Here is a 20588-nt window from a genome sequence, read left to right on the forward strand (position 1 = left end):
TTAGAGTGTTTTCTAGGGCTATTCATAGAGGATGTAGTCTGAGAGAAGGAATACCTCCTGGCTTGGAAGAAAGCAAACAACCATATTGTGATTGTCTTTGGGGGCCATGTGGCAAGGAACTGTGGATGAACTCTAGCTGCTGAGAGCAGCTCCTGACCAATAGCCAGCAAGGAACGGGCACGTCAATCACATACTGGAAGGAGCTGAATTCTGCAGTGAGGACATAACACTGGAAGAAGAACCCAGCTCCAGATGAGAATGCAGCCCGGTCAACACTTTGATTTCAGCCTGTGAGAAACTGATCAGAAAACTGAGCCCTGCTTGGACTTCCACCCTACAAAACTGTAAGCTAATACACAGGAATTGTTTTAAGCCAGTATGTTTATGGTAATTTGTTAGGCAGCTTTAAAAGGCTAATATAAATGAGAAACTAGGAAGAGAATCCCTGGTTTATTGCACATTAACTATAATTTCCTGCTTCTTCACTGAATATTTTGTTATATAACCTATGGTGATGATTCCAATCAACTACAATCCTTTTTGTAGTCTGCTCTTGACTTTTACTAAATTGCAAATTCTTGATCAATTCCAAATAAAGCCACCATTTATTGGACTTCTACTTTGTCATAAGCACTAAGCTTTTAGACATAATCTCATTTAAACCTCACAGCAATCTCGAAAGGGAATGTCTCTATATTTAAGAAAAAGAAACTGCAATTTTGAGGGCTAAGAACCATAATCAGAATCACGCAGACTAATGAGTTGTGAAGTTGGGATTCTCACCTCATTGTGTCTGACTTCAAATCGTATTTTTTTTTTTTTTTTTTTTTTTTTGAGACAGCGTCTGGCTCTGTCGCCCAGGCTGGAGTACAGTGGCGCGATCTCGGCTCACTGCAAGCTCCGCCTCCTGGGTTCACGCCATTCTCCTGCCTCAGCCTCTCAAGTAGCTGGGACTACAGGAGCCCGCCACCGCTCCCGGCTAATTTTTTGTATTTTTAGTAGAGACGGGGTTTCACTGTGTTAGCCAGGATGGTCTCGATCTCCTGACCTCATGATCCACCCGCCTCGGCCTCCCAAAGTGCTGGGATTACAGGCGTGAGCCACCACGCCCGGCCCAAATCGTATTTTTATGTGCTGCATGGTATTACTTTTCAATACTGAAGACAATAACTTATGGTATGCAGTTACTGATCTCAAGTACTGCTCAGATTCAAAGTACAAGTACAGGGATTGTACTTCCCTGCCCTCTTGAAGTTAGGTATCATCATGTAACTAGCATTGGACAATGAAATGTGACACACATCACTTCTGGGCCAAAGCATTTAACTGCGGGTGCTTGATTCCGCAATTCTCTCTTTTCCTGCCAGAACAATCCTGGAAGCCAAGAGTTAAGATATGGCCCACATTAGCCTTGGTTTCTAAGTGGGTCTCATGAGCAGAACTTTCCATATTGGATGTGTCATATGAGCAAGAAATAAACATTTGTTGTTTTAAGCCACTGAAATTTTGAAGTTGTGTTGTTATTGCAGCACAACTTTGTCTTTCTGAGCAGTGTACGTGAATCAAAAGTTATAACCAACAGTGCCTGCAATTCTTACTGATAAAGTTACACTTATTTTTGGCACTCATTACTCATACACTATGCTTTAACTTTATTGACCTGCTTGCAGGTCCCTGAATGCTTGGTGTTTTCTCATATCTCAGCACATTGAACACCTTCTTTCCTCTGCTTGAAATAGAAAAGATTTTAGCATAGTGGGTGGTTAAAAATGGGCTATGGATTCAGGCTAGACTAGATTTATATCCTGACCCTTTCACTCTCTGTCTGTACTGACTTGGGCAAGTAACTTAACCCCTTTTTACCTCCACCTGCTTATCTGTAAAATGGATAATAATAGTACATTGATCATGGGGCTGCTGCAAATATTAAATATTTATTCATAAATAAAAAATATGAAATATTTTTTATTAAAAAATAAATATGAACCATTTAGAATAACAAGGTTGTTATTATTACTACTATTGTTAAAAACTCCACTTAGCTATCACGTTTTCCAGGAAGCCTTCCTGATACTTCCAGGTTCAATTAGGTGGCCCTTTGTTGAGCTGCTGTAATAGATTGTCGAGACATTTATCCGATTACGTCATATACTTGTCTGTCTCTTCTCTAAGGTGTACACCTGAAAAATATGGATTAAAAATAGAACAACATTGTATTCCTAGCACCTAGTAGTCAATAAATGTTTTCTGAATGAATAAAGAAATTTAGAGTCAATAGCTGTGGGCCTAAGCTAGTAATTACTAAGGAAATAATTATGAGCCTCAAGTAAAATTAATCTTATAAATGAGAATTGCATGAGTTAATCTAGTTACAGAAATGTTCTTTTAACTAACTTGATTGATTGAAGCTTCGTTTTTCTAGAGTTAGGTTAAATAGGATGTTATTTTCAAAAATTGAGATCATTTTTGATTTTCTCAAATTGCTGAAAGCACAAAGTTTGTATTACAAACAGTTTGAAATATAGCTGATCATTCTGTCATTAGCACCCTGGATTATGTTTAGAGAGGTACTCTACCCATCACACTTGATAATAAATGCCAACAGTTAGCATTACTGTTTGTGAGCACCCCAAATTGCTGCAAAGCAGAAATAAGGCTTAAATGTATCATCTTTATCATCTAAAATAATTGACGTTTTTGCGATTGTCCTATTTACAGTCATGGATTGATTTAGACATTTGGGAAAACTGACCCCGTTAGCTTAGTGAGAAAGAAAACCCCCACATTTTTGGTTTTGATAAGTTTGTAATTTCTCAAAAGAAAATTGCCAACTTTTTTTTTTTTTTGGTATCCAGTTCTAAAGTTGAGGACTTACCTTCTAGTATCATCAAACTCTGTATAGTCAGTGATGCCTCCCCCGACGAAGTTAACTGTTCTAACAATGATCTTCCAAGTTAAAACTTTTGAAACATGGGAAATACATTTTATCCTGGGTGTGAAACCTTTATCACATTAAAGTTGGGAGACATTTGTCATTAACGATATTTAGAATTTCTACCCCCACCATTGCAGAGCTATGTTTCCTATTGTCTGAACCCTGCATGCAGAGCAGGAAGCTCATTTTCTTGTGGTTGAGCAAAAATGAAGGTTCTTAGTGGAGATAAGTAGGTTTTCCTTTTCAGTATAGAAATAAATAACAGTAGTAAATAAATTGAGAGGAGGAAGTGAAGCCAAGAATGAACTCAGGAGATGCCACTGTGCCCAGGTGTGCCCTTGAGGAGGAGGGACAAGGGGTCATAGCCTCAGGACTTCTTACCTGTTGGCAGGGAGGGATGCTCATGTGGCTTCATTAACTGTTCTTTCTTGGGTAGAAGGAACAGGTCTGTGTATGGAAAAAAGAACTTCAGAATTTGTTTTTGTTCCCCCTCTGTTACATCTGTGCCTCTGATTTCTGCCACAACCGATGTGTACGCATTCCCTTTCTCCATCACTGAGCTTCAGTTTGGTTGTATGCTCCAAGATTGCTTAAAAGACTTTCAATGAACCTAATTCTATTCTCTCCTAAAGCATCTCTTTGAATAACCGTTTAAAGGAGCTTACAGCCTTATTATAGCAGAAAGCCATTGTTGGTGAATTCAACAAGGTGGGAGACCACTGTGTTTGTTTCAGTAGTGCAGGGCGGTGGTGTTAAGCCCCTGGAAGGCACTGAGCTCTACACTGGTGCAGGCTAAGGAGAAAAGATTAGGAGCTGGGCTTGAGAGCTGCTCTTCTGGGTCCTTGCAGCGTGCGCTCACAGCAGGCAGTGGAAGTGTTATGTCTACTCCTGGGCAGAGGGGCCGTGGCCCTGGCTGCAGGTATTTCTGGTAAATGCAGGTTTGAGGGCATGAGGATGATGCTTTGAGCTTCCTCTGAATGTTTCTTTCCGCTTAGCTAACATAAATGTTACACATTCCAAACTTTTATAATAGAATGAGTGGGAGACATTGGCAGTTGTCAATAAAACAATTGTCTATGGTACTCCTTATGTAACAAACTGGATTTTTAAAACTTATTTATCTTAAATTTTATAATATTTTAACCTGTGGTTTTTCCCTCTCAAGACATCCAAATGGCTAAAAAATCTATGAGCAAATTATTCAATCAGTCAATAACATTAAAAAAAGTACACATTTTAAACCCCTTTTTATGGTAAATATGTAAAATGCCAAAGCACACCGTGTCTTGACTTGTATGTTCGGTTGGGATTTATATGCAACTTTTAAAAAGTGTAAAGAAAAGCAGTTTTTCTTTTCTAAACTTTCTTCTCAGTTAGGTTCTGCAAAACGCTCCCCCAATTCTCATGAAGTCTAACAGCTGCTATTAAAGCTTACTTTACATGCATGTAGTTAGCAGATATGTTGAAAACGTTTAACAAGTTAAAATGCCAGATATAGTTAGCATTTGTAATTACAAGTATTTTATTTCTCCATAAATAATTCCAGGATTGATTAAGTATAAGGTGACACTAGCCAGTTTTTGGTCTTTGTTTTTTTTTCTCACGATCCTCAACCTTCTTTCTTTTTCCTTGATTTCCTTATTGTCTTTCACCAGTATTTCCTAGTTCCATTCCTTTTTCTTGACTTTGTTCTTTTCTATATTCTTTCCTTTCCCAATTTTTCCTCTGCTTTTTAATTTTCTAGTTTCCTTTTTCCCTGTTTTTTTATTGTTACTTTTCTTTCTCCTTTGTTGTATCTTAAAAGAAGGAAGAAATAAACTGTCCACCAGAGGGCAATCTGATCCTGCGCGCGCGTGCGCGCGCGCACACACACACACACACACACACACACACACACACACTCTCTCTCTCTCTCTCTCTCTCTCTCTCTCTCTCCCTCTCTCTCTCCCTCTCATACACACACACACACACACACAGCCATTTTCTCTCATTTTTTTTCTTTTAAAACTTCCTTCCAGAGGAATATGATGGTTCAGAGAGTAGGTGGTAAAAAACCCTTTTATTTATAAACTCCTTTCATTATAGCTTCTGTGTGGGTGTGTAGTCTCAATGATTTGATTTGTGAAGACTCAAACTGTTGTAGGTTTGTATAAGGAGTATATAGACCCTTATTCTAACAGCCCTAAGAAAACAGTGTAATTATTTGGGGTTATCTTAGAAGCTGCCAAAATACATGGTGAAAATGAAAACTTGAGCTGTGAGATTTTGGATGTATAAGACATGGAAAATCAGCAGACTAATTTCTCGGGTGCCTTTAAATATATGTCACTCTAGCATTCAAGAATTTTACACTCTCATTTAAAAAAATGTGAAAGTCATTATTTTTCTATATTTAGCCATGAAAATGTGTAATAGGAATTAATACAACATTGAACAATCAATTTGTGATGATCCTTATGAATAGCGGAGCTACAGGTAGAGTTGAATTCTGGTTAATAAAATACGTTTTAAAAATATGATTCCTAAGTAGTTGCAGAGTGGCTTAATACAAAGTGATTTTCAACATCTTCCAGGGCCACCTCTGCCTCTTGAGCTCGGTCCTGCCTCTGTTCTCAGGTAAGCTGCTGCAATTCTGTGAGCCTCAGTTTACTTCCTTGTAAATGGAAGTATTTTCAACTCAGGTCCTCATAAGCTCTTTATATGTTAATATGTAGTGGCAGGTCAATGTCAAGAAGAAACGGTTTGAGTCAGCTCTCTTCCTGACCTCGCTGACCTGCACATGTCCATGTCACCTGAAAATGCCATTCTGGATCCCTCAGAGGTTTGAGTAAAGAAAAGAAATTTTCTGCATAGAAGCTTGGTGATTTTTCATCCCAAATGTGAAAGAGAGTCTGTTTTAACTTCATTATCTAATGCAATGAGAGGCAAAATGAGGGGCTATATAAATTCTCTGAAGAAGGACAGGTGGCTGGGTTGCCCACTCAAACGCTGAAATGCTGCGGGCAGAAAGGAGAAGAGAGTTTCATGGTTTGAGTTTTAGTTTCTCAAAACCTAGGCTATACTGTGTGTTCACAAAGACAAATGCTGAATTATCCCGGTGAGTGGGCTTAAACATTTACTGGCCTGTCGATACTCTTTGTCTATCAGCTCACCAAGTTCTCAGTTTTCCATTTGCCAACATCATAAGCAACTTGGAATTACAGCTCTGTGGTGTGAGAAGAAGCCTGAAACTATTATAAAAGCTTTGAATGAGGGCTTCAACTTTTACTAAAGCTTTTACTTCTCATTGTCTAATTTCATATGCATTAGCTGAGTCTAAAGGAGAAAAAATGTGTTTGGAGTTACCCCTATTACCTCTGAAGAAACATTTCCAGCAATAGTATTAGACCTGAACAAATCAGTAGACCTAAACCACGTGGATGGAACCATTTTTCTACATGCTCCGTTTTGCCAGTCCTGATTCAAGATATCTTCTAAGAACACTTCATGTCCCCATGCTTCTAAAAAGTTGGATTGGACTCAGTAATCCAAGGCTTGACTAGCAGTCTTTCTTATGTAATCAGCATAAACTTTGAAATGTATTGAAAGCTCCCAACGAATTTGATGGGACAGAGTATATTTAGAATTCACTAGTTTGAGATTACTAGGCTGTTAATAAATTTGGCCATTCCAATATTACATCTGAATAAAGTAAATGGGAAAAGTATCTATGAAAGTAAATTTTCAGTTGTATTTGAATGTAATGCCCTCCTAGCATTCTTTCCAAGAATTTCAATGGATAATTTCTGCCATTGGTTTAATTTATCAGTAGATTTGATCTTTATGCCAGGTAGAATGTGACCTTTTTCCACTGCATGACTTATTCTGGAAGTTTCTGGGAAGGTAAACATTTTGGAATGTGAAATGTGGTTGGGAACTTTTCCCTGCAGAAACACCGAGTACATAACAAGTTAAAAGGTATTTTCAATTTGGTGCTGATCCAGATTATAAAATGTGCTAAAGGGACTGAGCTCAGAATTTAAAGAGTTTACTTCTAATCGGAGTGTCACACCAGGTGCTAAACATGTTGACTCAAGTAGAAAATAGGGATCCATGTCATGAAATTTTAAAGCTAGAAGGAACCAGGATTTTTAAGTGTATTTCCACATCTCACAGATGAGTAACTGAAGTCTACATAGATTAAAGCAAGCTATTCAATAATCGTAGTGATCATGCATAACATTTGGTCCTGAAAACTTTTTAGATAAATCAAGAGCTAAGATACCTAACTAATCTGTAACATAACCACACATGCATAGTCAACTACTTCAAATATTTTTTAGGTCACTGTTTTATGGTTCAGCTGATGGCTAGTTATCCTTCATTCTATATAAATTAAGATTAAGTTTATTCAAGTAACAGGGTGGCATTAAAGAGGTATATCCTTAGTGAAGAGAGTGCTTTTTACTTGGCAATGAACTCCTTAAATATTCTTACACTAAAGAATTTACTACAAACCCCCACATATTATTGTGATTAAATAAGACATTGATGTTAATGTATATAACGTTTCACGCTCATGTTTCAATGACTGACTTAGGTGATCATAGGTAGCATATCTTTGTTTTAAATGGCAAGGGGTAATTATTTCTTTCGGGCACTCTACCTGCAATTTGGGTAGCTGCCTCTGGGAAGGCGATTATGTAAATATAGTTGTCTCCCATTCATCAACAGCATCAGCATCACCTGGGAACTTGTTAGAAATGCAAAATCATCCAGTCCTACCTCAGACCTAATGAATCAGAAACTTGGGAAGAAATGGTGCGAGCCCAGCAATCTGTGTTTTAACCACCCTCTATATGACGGTGATACTTACTCCATTTAAAAATCACTACCCTGGGAGAATTGTGGTGGTGGTTTATGAGAATAAAAGTCTTCTGACTTTGATATTTTAGACTCTTTTCTGCTAAATGAGTGATTTTTGCAAAGGCTCAAACAGTTTCTTTTGTAAGAGAAAAGTGTGAAAACTATGAAGACAGTTCCCTTTTCAGATTTTTAAATTCCTTCCCTTTGTTCCTTTATTTGTGGATTCAAAGACTGCTTGCTCACTGCATTCTTCTTCATATGGATATGCACAGACCCCTATGTAGACAGGCCAGGCTGTGGGGTTGCTATCCCGCATTTATTTTGCTGCTCTCCTAGCTGCTGTCTATGGCTTTCTTACTGGGAAACTGTCCCTCTCCCCTTCTGCTTCTGTGGCTGGTTCTGCTACACACAGCTCTCAGCAAGTCAAGATTGTCCTGTTCTAAGAAGCCTGCAAAGCCTTTACCCAGAGACTGGTGTCATCAAACTCCATTATTAGAATCTTCAACATTTCTTCCTATTAGTGATGTGAAATGTAAAAAGCCTTACTTGAGTTTCTTGAAGCTCAATAATGAAGCTCTGAAGATATAGTCGAGGGATTGCGCTAATTAAAATGCAGCTGGGTACAGAAGTAGAGGTAACTGCGGCTCGCTACGCCATGTCCCTGGTAATCAGCGGTCCCCGGTCTCCCCACAATAATTGACAGGAGATGCAGTGCTCCTGAGTGCACACACAGCGCACGCTAATGGAGCCGACACATGCTGCTCTTCCTGCCTGACTCCTCTCATTATCGACCTTGAACTGGCAAAGGTCAGAGGACGATGCTGCTTTCATCAACATGACAGGTGTCTGAGGAGCTTCCCTCTGTAGTCTAATAATTTGGCAGTTGTCTTATCCTGTACATGAATTAGTGATCTGATGCTTGAGATATAATGGATAAAAAGAATCTGTCAGCTCTGGGCAGGGGATATAGCTCTGGGCATCTGTATTAGTGCCATCACTAACACAGACTGGAAGGTGTATGTTGTAAGGGTGCCTTTTTGTCCTCTGCAGAGAAAGAATAAGTCTGTTTGTGGCCATTACATCAAAAGAGCATTTTTCCAGAAAATTGTTATCTATGGAAAAATGTTTCACCAAGGTATTAACATTCACAAGTCAATTTCTTTCTACCAAGTACACATTGACATCTGACAGTTTTCCAGTGTGGGCATAATGATAATGATAATGAATGTTCTTTGAGAAGACTTAAAATCAATTAGTAATATCTCCTGAGCATCCCCATGTGCTGGAGATGATTGCAGAAACTATGTGAGGGTACAAAAGAGACAAAAGGTGGTAGATGCAGTGAATATATGTGTACCGTGTTGTATACACACCACACACTGAGATATGCCAAACATAAACATATTGCAAAAAATAAAGACTGTACTCAAAGAAATATATGTGTAAAGGGGATAATGAAACACAGCATCTTCACTTGGCAAAATCTAACAACATTTATAAGCAACATTCCAGTGAAATACCTTCTTGTGGGTGAACTGCAGACCAGAGGAGTGAATTGGAAGGGCAAATGAATGAATATAGACATGGGTTTTCATGCGCGGCCGTGTGAAGAGACCACCAAACAGGCTTTGTGTGAGCAACATGGCTATTTATTTCACCTGGGTGCAGGCGGGCTGAGTCCGAAAAGAGAGTCAGCAAAGGGAGATAGGGGTGGGGCCGTTTTATAGGATTTGGGTAGGTAAAGGAAAAGGGGGGTTGTTCTCTGGTGGGCAGGAGTGGGGGTCACAAGGTGCTCAGTAGGGGAGCTTTTGAGCCAGGAGAAGGAATTTCACAAGATAATGCCATCCGTTAAGGCAGGAACAGTCCATTTTCACTTCTTTTGTGGTGGAATGTCATCAATTAAGGCAGGAATCGGCCATCCGGATGTGTACATGCAGGTCACAGGGGATATGATGGCTTAGCTTGGGCTCAGAGGCCTGACATTCCTGTCTTCTTATATTAATAAGAAAAATAAAATGAAATAGTGGTAAAGTGTTGGGATGGCGAAAATTTTTGGGGATGGTATAGGGAGATAATGGGCGGTGTTTCTCAGGGCTGCTTCGAGTGGGATTAGGGGCGGCGTGGGAACCTAGAGTGGGAGAGATTAAGCTGAAGGAAGATTTTGTGGTAAGGGGTGATATTGTGGGACTGTTAGAAGAAACATTTGTCATTTAGAATTATTGGTGATGGCCTGGATACAGTTTTGTATGAATTGAAAAACTAAATGGAATAAGAGAAGGAGAAAAACAGGTATTAAAGGTCTAAGAATTGGGAGGACCCAGGACATCTAATTAGAGAGTTCCTAAGGAGATTCAGCATAGTCCTGTCAGCAAAGATTATTTATTTACTTCAAGAGTTAAGAGTGGCGGTTTGGGGATAGCACCAGGAGATATCAGCTGTGATGGCTTGGGGAAACAGTGTAAACCGGCAGTGTAAACAAGAGCAGGGCATGTATGAGTAGCTGAGAACGGTGAATAGGAGTATGACTAGACAGAAGATAGAAAAGATGACAAGTTTTTTGGGGCACAGTCTAAGTTGGTCTGGTGTCTGGAATGAGACTGGGGCCTAATAAAAAGGAGCATCTATACAGGAGCTCAAATGGGCTGTACCTTGTAGCATTCCAAGGACAGGCCTGAATTCTGAGAAGGGAAAGTGGTAAAAGTATTGTCCAGTCTTTTTTAAGTTGGTGGCTGAGCTTGGTGAGGTGTGTTTTTAAAAGACCATTAGTCCGTTCTACCTTTCCTGAAGACTGAGGACTGTAAGGTATATAAAGGTTTCACTGAATACCAAGAGCCTGAAAAAATACTTGGCTGATTTGACTAATAAAGGCTGGTCTGTTATCAGACTGTATAGAGGTGGGAAGGCCAAACTGAGGAATTATGTCTGACAGAAGGGAAGAAATGACCGCGGTGGCCTTCTCAGACCCCGTAGGAAAGGACTCTACCTATCCGGTGAAAGTGTCTACCTAGACTAAGAGGTATTTAAGTCAATTTGCCAGTCCTGGGCAGGGACAAATCTTCGAGCTTGATGTGTAGGAAAGGGAGGGGACCTGAACAATCCCTGAGGGGTAGTAGAATAGCAGATGGAACACTGAGAAGTGATCTCCTTGAGGATAGATTTCCATGATGGAAAGGAAATGAGAGGTTCTAAGAGACGGGCTAGTGGCTTGTACTATAGCATAGCCTGCCTTTGCTGGTGTGTGGCGATTAGGCCTGGTGGAACTGCCATCAATAAACCAAGTGTGATCAGGATGAGAAACAGGGAAGAAGGAAATGTGGGGAAATGGGGTGAACGTCAGGTGGATCAGAGAGATACAGTCATGGGGGTCAGGTGTGGTATCAGGAATAATGTGGGAGGCCGGATTGAAGTCTGGGCCAGGAACAATGGTAATTGTGGGACTTAACAAAGAGTGAGTACAGCTGAAGGAGCTGGGGAGCAGAAAGTATATGCGTCAGGTATGAGGAAGAAAATAGATTTCGGAAGTTATGAGAAATGTAGAAAGTAAGTTGAGGATAGTTTGTGATTTTGAGGGCCTCTAAAAGTATTAGGGCGGCAGCAGCCGCTGCACGGAGACATGATGGCTAGGCTAAAACAGTAAGGTCAAGTTGTTTGTACAGAAAGGCTACAGGGTGCGGTCCTGGCTCTTGTGTAAGAATTCTGACCACACTAACCATGCCTAGGAAGGAAAGGAGTTGTTGTTTTGTAAGGGATTGAGGTTTGGGAGATTAATCAGACACGATCAGCAGGGAGAGCATGTGTATTTTTATGAGAATTATGCTGAGATAGGTAACAGATAAGGAAGAAATTTGGGCTTGACTGAAGTAATGGGGGCTGTCTGTGAAGCTTTGCAGCAGTAAAGCCTAGGTAATTTGCTGAGCCTGATGGGTGTCAGGGTCAGTCCAAGTGAAAGCGAAGAGAGGCTGGGATGACGGGTGCAAAGGAATAGTAAAGAAAGCATGTTTGAGATCCAGAACAGAATAATGGATTGTGGAGGGAGGTATTGAGGATAGGAGAGTATATGGGTTTGGCACCATGGGGTGGATAGGCAAAACAATTTGGTTGATAAGGCATAGATCCTGAACTAACTTGTAAGGCTTGTCTGGTTTTAGGACAGGTAAAATGGGGGAATGATAAGGAGAGTTTATAGGCTTTAAAAGGCCGTGCTGTAACAGGTGAGTGATAACAGGCTTTAATCCTTTCAAACTGTGCTGTGGGATGGCATATTGGCATTGAGTGGGGTAAGGGTGATTAGGTTTTAATGAGATGGTAAGGGGTGCATGATCGGTCACCAAGAAGGGAGTAGAGGTATCTTATACATGTGGGTTAAGGTGGGGGATACAAGAGGAGGACGCAAAGGAGGCTTTGGATTGGGAAGAAGGGCAGCAATGAGATGTAGCTGTAATCCAGGAATAGTCAGGGAAGCAGATAATTTAGTTAAAGTGTCTCGGCCTAATAAGGGAACTGGGCAGGTGGGGATAACTAAAAGGAATGGTTAAAAGAGTATTGTCTAAATTGGCACCAGAGGTGGGGAGTTTTAAGAGGATTAGAAGCCTGGCTATCAATACCCACAACAGTTATGGAGGCAAGGGAAACAGGTCGTTAAAAATAAGGTAATGTGGAGTGGGTAGCCTCCGTATTAATTAAGAAGGGGACCGACTTACCTTCCACTGTGCGAGTTACCCGAAGCTCAGCATCCGTGATGGTCTAGGGGGCTTCCGAGGTGATCGGGCAGTGTCAGTCTTCAGCCGCTAAGCCAAGAAGATCTGGGAAGGAGTCAGAGAGCCTTAGGCCAGAGTTCCAGGGGCTCTGGGAGTGGCTGCCAGGTGAGTTGAACAGTCCGATTTCCAGTGGGGTCCCGCACAGATGGGACGCGGCTTAGGAGGAATCCTGGGCTGCAGGCATTCCTTGGCCTGGTGGCCAGATTTCTGGCACTTGTAGCAAGCTCCTGGGGGAGGAGGTTCTGGAGGAACGCCTGGCCACTGTGGTTCAGGCATTTGGAAGTTCTTGTGTGCTGGAGATGTGGCTGGGGTTTGTCTCACAGTGGAGGCAAGGAATTGCAACTTTTTTCTATTATTGTACACCTTGAAGGCGAGGTTAATTAAATCCTGTTGTGGGGTTTGAGGGCCGGAATTTAATTTTTGGAGTTTTATTTAATGTTGGGAGCAGATTGGTAATAAAATGTATTTTGAGAATAAGACGGCCTTTTGAACTTTTAGGGTCTAGGGCTGTAAAGTGTCTCAGGGTTGCTGCCAAACGAGTCATGAACTGGGCTGGATTTTTATATTTGATGAAAAAGAGCCTAAATGCTATCCGATTTGGGATAAAGAAAAAGGAGCATTAACCTTGACTATGCCTTTAGCTCCAGCCACCTTCTTAAGAGTAAATTGCTGGGCAGGTGGGGGAGGGCTAGTCACGGAACGAAACTGCAAGCTGGACCGGGAGTGAGGAGGGGAGGTGATAAAAGGATTATAGGGTGGAGGAGCGGAGGCTGAGGAAGAATTGGGACCTAGCTCGGCCTGGCGAGGAGCAGCCTGGGGAGGAGGGGAGAGGTCAGATGGGTCTGTAGAAAAGGAAGATTAGAAAGACTCAGTGACACTTGGGGTTGGGACTGAGGGGACAGGTGGGAGGGAAAGAAGGAAGATTTGGGATGAGTTGCGCTGGGCACAGAGACTAGGGAGGGACCGATGTGTAAAAGAATGCCTGGACGTCAGGCATCTCAGACCGTTTGCCCATTTTACGACAAGAATTATTTAGATCTTGCAGGGTGGAAAAATTGAAAGTGCTGTTTTCTGGCTATTTGGAACTACTGTCAAGTTTGTATTGGGGTCAAGCGGCATTGCAGAAGAAAATAAAGTGCTTAGATTTTAGGTCAGGTGAGAGTTGAAGAGGTTTTAAGTTCTTAAGAACACAGGCTAAGGGAGAAGAAGGGGGAATGGAGGGTGGAATGTTGCCCATAGTGAAAGAGGCAAGTTTAAGGAAAAGGGAGAGTAGAGACATGGAGGGAAGCGGTTCGGGGGTTCTTACCCTCCAGAAAAGCGGGAAAGGGGTTGGGGTGCAGAGATACGAGGTTGGGGTGTGGAAATAAGGGATCAGGGTGCAGAGATATAAGAGGTTGGGGCATGGAAATAAGGGATCGGGGCACAGAGATATAAGAGGTTGGGGCACGGAAATGAGGGATTGGGGCACAGAGATAAGAGGTCGGTGCACAGAAATAAGGGATTGCGGCGCAGAGATATAAGAGGTTGGGGTGCGGAAATAAGGGATTGGGGCGCAGAGATATGAGCTTGGGGCACTTGCCCCTCCTCTAGAAAAGCGGGACTTGCCACTAAGAGTGAAGGAGAAGGGGTTGGGGGTTCCTTGCCCCCCAGAAAGGCGCAGAAGGGGTAGAGACACGGAGAGAAGGGGTTGGGGTACTTGCCCCTACCCCAGAAAAGTGGGACTTGCTGCTAAGGGTGAAGGACCAAGGTAGGCGTCCCTGCGTGGTCTGACACCTCTGAAACCTGGATGAATAATCAGAGAGGTGTCCCTGCAATGATTAAACACCAAGGGAAGGCTGCCTTCCCTAGTCCGTGACCAGTGCCAGAGTTTTGGGTCCACAGATAAAACGTGTCTCCTTTGTCTCTATCAGAAAATGAAAGGAATTGAAATTAAAAGAAGGGAGAGATTGAAGAGTGGAAAGGTGAAAGTGGTTGAGGGACAGTGAGAGAGGTTGGAGAAGAGAGGAAAAAGAGGCCACTTACTGGATTTGAAATTGGTGAGATGTTTCTTGGGCTGGTTGGTCTGAGGACCTGAGGTCGTAGGTGGATCTTTCTCATGGAACAAATAGCAGGAGGACAGGGGATTGATCTCCCAAGGGAGGTCCCTCGATCCGAGTCACGGCACCAAATTTCATGTGCATCTGTGTGAAGAGACCACCAAACAGGCTTTGTGTGAGCAACATGGCTATTTATTTCACCTGGGTGCAGGCGGGCTGAGTCCGAAAAGAGAGTCAGCAAAGGGAGATAGGGGTGGGGCCGTTTTATAGGATTTGGGTAGGTAAAGGAAAAGGGGGGTTGTTCTCTGGCGGGCAGGAGTGGGGGTCACAAGGTGCTCAGTAGGGGAGCTTTTGAGCCAGGAGAAGGAATTTCACAAGATAATGCCATCCGTTAAGGCAGGAACAGTCCATTTTCACTTCTTTTGTGGTGGAATGTCATCAATTAAGGCAGGAATCGGCCATCCGGATGTGTACATGCAGGTCACAGGGGATATGATGGCTTAGCTTGGGCTCAGAGGCCTGACATGGGTAAAGAAAGTATTTTGCATGTTTCCACTGAGTAGTTTTTCCTCCTTTGTCAACTTGTAAAATTTCTATCTAATATCAAATTCTACTGCAGAATTAACCACCCTATTTAAATTTTTCTGAGCCTATTCTGAAGAACAAAGTTGACCATGGCTTCTTCTTTGACATTCATCTATGTGGCAAATATTTTTCGTATCACCTGTATTGTAGTTGGTTGTAATTATTTGTTCCCATGCCTATTTTTTATTGTGTAATACAGTGTAGTATAATTCAATATATCATGGTAAGATTGGAGACAGAGTGTGGACTTTGGAATCAGATGAACGGGGGAAAAATTAGATCTCTGCTTTTTGTGAATTGTTTGTCTCATGGTGCTTTACTTAATCTCTCTAAATCTCAGTTCTCTCATCTAAAAAATGGGGATAACAACAACTAACTCACAGAGAGATTGCGAGACTCACATAAAATGATGTATTCAGGTTTTCAGTAATGCTGGTTCCTCTCTCGGCTCCATCTTATTCCAACTACAGTATTTACAATCCTAGAGGATAGAAATAGTGTTTTGAGAAATAGTGTTTTGCTCCTCTCTATAGCCTCATTACTTAATACTGTATCTGGCATAAACAGGTGTTCAATGAAATTTGCTGAATTAAACCAAGTGGCCTAAAATATTCATGTAGACTGATTGCATTATTCAAATTTGACTCCAATTTGTTTCATGGACTTGGAAGAATTTATTCACAGCATTATCTGTTGTTCTCTTTACCTCTATTTTACTATATGTATGGTTGAGGGAGTTTTGTGCACATTTCAGACTTGTGGTTAGCCAAGTCTGAAAATAATTTATTTTGAAAAACAAATGTTTCTTCCAAAAATATGGATAAATGGAATTTGTTTTAACTTATTTGAGACAAAAATAAAAAACTTACCCCAAGGTTTCTGCTCTTATATTTAAAGGTCATTAACTATCATGTTTAATTAAATATGTGTGTATCTGAGAAAATATATGAAATAATATAGCAGTATGAGCATTGTTTTATTAATGTAGTCATATAGGAACTATATACTTGTTCCATTTATGTTTGCACATTTGAAAAATTCCTAAAACAAGTCTTTTGAAATAATATTCACAAATTGTGTAATATTTTAACTTTTTTATTGTGGTACAATGCACATAACATAAAATTTATCATTTTAACCATTTTTAGCATTCACTTCAGTGGCATTAATTACATTCACATTGTTTTGGAACCATCACTATTATCTATGTCTAGAACTCTTTTCATCTTTCAAACTGAAACTCTGTACCCTTAAACAATAACTCTCCATTCCCTTCTCTCTGTAATCCTTAGTAATCTCTAATGTACTTTATGCCTCTCTGAATTTGACCACTCTAGGTATCTCATATGGGTGGAATCATGCTGTATTTGTCTCTTTGCGACTGGCTAATTTTACTTAGCACAAAATCCTCAAGGTTGTTGAGCATGTCCTCAACATGCTTATCCATGTTGTAGCATGTGTCCAAATCATCTTCCTTATAAGACTGAATAATAATATTCCATTTTATGTTTATACCACATTTTGTTTATTCATTTATTCATTAAAGGATACTTGGGATCCTTCCAACTTTTTGGCTATTGTGAATAGTGTTGCTATGAACATGAATGGACAAATATCTCTTTGTGTCCCTGCTTTGACTTACTTTTGTTATATACTGGGGATGCAATTGCTAGATCATATGGTAACTCTCTGTCTAATTTTGAACAACTTCCCTACTATTTCCCATAGTAATTGCCCATTTTACATCCCCACCAATAATGCACAAGGGTTCAGTTTATCCATGTCTTTACCAACACTCGTTATTATTATTTTCCCTTTGATAGTTAGCTATTCTAATGGGTGTGACAGAGCTTGTATAATATTGATTACCTTCAGTGGTCTCTAACCCCCGAACTAATGGTATTAGATGGTACAGTCTTTTAGGAAGTGATTAGTTCATGAGGGCTCTTCCCTTATTAATGGAATTAGTATCCTTATAAAGGAGGCCCCAGAAAGCTGCCTTATGTCTTCCACTATGTGAGGATGCAGCAAGAAGACACATTCTATGAAACAGAAGACAATGAATCTGCTAATGCCTTGTTCTTGGACTCCCCAGCCTCCAGAACTATAAGAAATAAATTTATGTTGTGTATAAACCATTCAGTCTATGGCGTTTTCTTATAGCAACCTGAATGGACTAAGATATACTTCATATACCTTTGACAAGAGTCCAAACTATTTCAGATTATGCTTCCTTCCTGCCTCCCTTCCTGCCTTCTCTCCTGCTTTCCTTCCTGATTAATCCAGTTCAAAAGTGATTAGGTGAGGCTGAGCAAGACAGTCATCCAGGTCTGGGGGCAGTGTGCAGAGCACTCCAGCATGGCTGTCAGTGCCTGAATATGGCGAGGAGGCACCATGCTATGAGTGTGGTAGTCGGGGAGTCTCACTTGTCTTCTGAGCAGAGTGGGATGGCATCTACATGGCATTGGACCAGAGTGCAATGTCCAAGGTCAAGAAGGTAAGGAGGATGCATGTCTGCATGAGTTGACAGTGGTGGTGGTGATGAAAATTGTCCACCTTTAAAGGGATTGATCAAATAAGTAAATACATTGAGCATAATTGGAGCCAATTGCTCACCGTTAGAGAAAGGAGTTACAAATTTGGAATGGGAGAAAAAGATCATGAATAATTTAAGGTTGGATTGTAATTGATGGTGTCCGTGTGAACTTGTGTAGTATCTTGGGAACATGAACAGCCTAATAGCAATGGGCACACCCAGCATCTTCCTCATGGCTTGTAAATCCCTTTCACCACTCTGAAGCTCTCTGGAGCAGTGACTGATTTCAAGGCAGGGACAGGAAAAGTATAAGATGAGCCTGGAATATTTTGTTGTACTAGGAAGTAAGAAAGTATTCAAAGAATGTTATAGACATATCAAAATGTCACAGAAGCCAGCTTGAAAGAGCTCCACTGGTCAAGGCTGGGATGATCTGAGCAACAACAACAAATTGTGACAGATTATAACCAATTGGATAAAATAAAAATCTATGCATCTGTACTGACATAAACAAATAAAAGAATAGGATATGGGGAGAAGAAAAGCTTTTTTATGGTAGAATGCCAATGAATAAATGTAGGAAAAAATAATGGAGTTAGAAAATAGCCACTTGATAAGTAACAGAGTGATAATTAATTCAACCAAGAAACACCAGTGGATGCTAAGACTAATGGGTAAAAGTTTGATGAAGAACTGGATAATTCACAGACTCAGAGTCCCTCCCTTAACATACTTTTTCCTCACAGGAGACACACAGAAACTTTATAATGGAGAAACCTGACAGACAAGGTTAACAGCCCCGGTTACATAGCATAGCAACTTCATGTGTCACAGGTCAAGAAGCAACCAGAAGAATCCAGCTTTACTTTCATACTATTCTTGACAAAAATGCATAACCTGAATTGAAGCAGGAAGAAAGGTCTGGTAAACTTAAACTAAGAAACCTTCTGCCAATTAACTGGCCTGTAATGTTCCAAAGTGTCAAGGACTCAAAAGTCAAGGAAAAACTGAGGAACCATTCCAGATTAGGTGGCTAAGCAGACACAGCAATGAAATATGCTTTATTTACCTGGGTGGATCTTCTGTTTGGAAAGGGTCTCTTTGGCTAACCTGATGAGAGTCTGTGAATTATTATTATTATTATTATTATTATTATTATTATTACTGTGAGACAGAGTCTTACTCTGTTGCCCAGGCTGGAGTGCAATGGCTGAATCTTGGCTCACTGCAACCTCTGCCTCCTGGGTTCAAACGATTCTCCTGCCTCTGCCTCCTGAGTAGCTGGGATTACAGGCATCCACCATCACGCCTGGATAATTTTTGTATTTTTAGTAGAGATGAGATTTCACCATGTTGGCCAGGCTGGTCTTGAACTCCTGACCTCAGGTGATCCACCTGCCTTGGCCTCCCAAAGTGCTGGGGTTACAGGTGTGAGCTACTGCACCCAGCCACTATTATTATTATTTTTTATTTTTGAGGTGGAGCTTTACTCCCATTGCCCAGGCTGGAATTCAGTGGCATAATCACAGCTCACTGCCGCCTTGAACTTCCAGGCTCAGGTGATCCTCTCATCTCAGCCTCCCAAGTAGCTGGACTACAAGTGTGTGCTTCCGTGCCTGGCTTGCTTATTTATTTATTTTTGAGACAGAGTCTTGCTCTGTCACCCTGGCAGGAGTGCAGCGGCAGGATCTCAGCTCACTGAAACCTCTGCCTCCCAGGTTCAAGCGATTCTCCTGCCTCAGCCTCCCGAGTAGCTGGGATTACAGGTGCCCGCCACCATGCCTAGCTAATTGTACTTTTAGTAGAGACAGGGTTTCACCATGTTGGCCAGGCTCATCTCGAACTCCTAACCTCAGGTGATCCACCCGCCTCAGCCTCCCAAAATGTTGGGATTATAGGCATGAGCCACTGCGCCCAGCCTAAATTTTTGTATTTTAGGAGAGACCAGGTTTTACCACATTGCCCAGGCTGATCTCAAATTCTTGGGCTCCGGCGATCTGCCTGCCTTAGAAACTGTGAATTATTAATAGGTGGTCACAATGAAGCAATGTCAACTGCATGGTTGTAGTATGCTTATGTTGCAGAAAGTCCTCATTGGTAGGAATTACACACTAATATATTCAGCAGTGATGGAGCCTTATATCGGCAACTTACTCTTAAGTAGTTCAGGAAAAAGAGTTATTTCTACAATTCTTGCAACTTTTTTTTAATTAAAAGTAGATATGTAAAACTGAAAATGAAATGACGGTAGCTTCATTGGAAAATGAAGTCTGTAATGGAGACTAGTTTGAAGACAGTAACGTGTAAAATGTACCTGCTCAGATGTTTTAAAAACGTTATTTGTATTCAAATGTCGCTATTCTCTTCCTTTGTCCTTTTTGAAAGATCAATAGCTAAGGAGAAAAACCATGATAAAACAAACCAAGAGCAATCTAAATAAAAATATAACCAAGACCATCAATAATAAGTCATGTTGTTAACAAGTACCCTCTGCTAGGATGCAGTGAGAATGCCACTTCATCTCTGTAGTATTCTTCCTCTAAAACTCTAACTCCAGTCTAATCATGAGGAAACATCAGAAAATACAAATTGAAGGACACTCTGCAAAATGCCTGACCAGAATGCTCTTTGGGAGTGTAAAGGACATGGAAGACAAACACTGAGAAACTCACAGTTGAGAGGAACCTAAGGAGGAAGGTCACTAGATATGATTGTTACCCTGGCTTAGATCCTGGGATAGAAAGAGAGCGTTAGTAGACGAATTGGTATAATCTGAATAAAGTTGGTAGTTTTGTTCATAGTATTGGATGAATGTTAAATACTTAGTTTTGATAAGTTTACTTTGGTTTTGTAAAATGTGAAGGTTAGGGAAGCTGGGTATTGGAATTGTCTTA

At 40.9% G+C, this 20588-nt stretch overlaps 1 long non-coding RNA gene across 1 annotated transcript, besides 2 other annotated features; it reads right to left on the reverse strand.

Moving 5' to 3' along the window:
* Window positions 1-1915: 1915 nt before the first annotated feature.
* Window positions 1916-12512, reverse strand: LOC105374957 (uncharacterized). The gene is made up of 3 exons (XR_926557.3): window positions 12481-12512; window positions 3317-3382; window positions 1916-2180 (listed from the first exon to the last, which is right to left on the reverse strand). It is a non-coding gene; the product is annotated as an uncharacterized LOC105374957 (long non-coding RNA).
* Window positions 4646-4940: an enhancer, noted in NCBI's record as "tiled region #7591; HepG2 Activating non-DNase unmatched - State 12:CtcfO, and K562 Activating non-DNase unmatched - State 13:Ctcf". NCBI's record gives its function as "activates a minimal TATA promoter and a strong SV40 promoter by Sharpr-MPRA in HepG2 and K562 cells {active_cell/tissue: HepG2 | K562}" and the evidence as "EXISTENCE:reporter gene assay evidence [ECO:0000049][PMID:27701403]".
* Window positions 14722-15222: an enhancer, noted in NCBI's record as "OCT4-NANOG-H3K27ac hESC enhancer chr6:18759725-18760225 (GRCh37/hg19 assembly coordinates)". NCBI's record gives its function as "activates a minimal SCP1, AML or CMV promoter by ChIP-STARR-seq in primed H9 embryonic stem cells {active_cell/tissue: H9 hESC(primed)}" and the evidence as "EXISTENCE:reporter gene assay evidence [ECO:0000049][PMID:30033119]".

Source organism: Homo sapiens, chromosome 6 (genome assembly GCF_000001405.40).
Source record: "Homo sapiens chromosome 6, GRCh38.p14 Primary Assembly".
NCBI classification, from domain to species: Eukaryota; Metazoa; Chordata; class Mammalia; order Primates; family Hominidae; genus Homo; species Homo sapiens.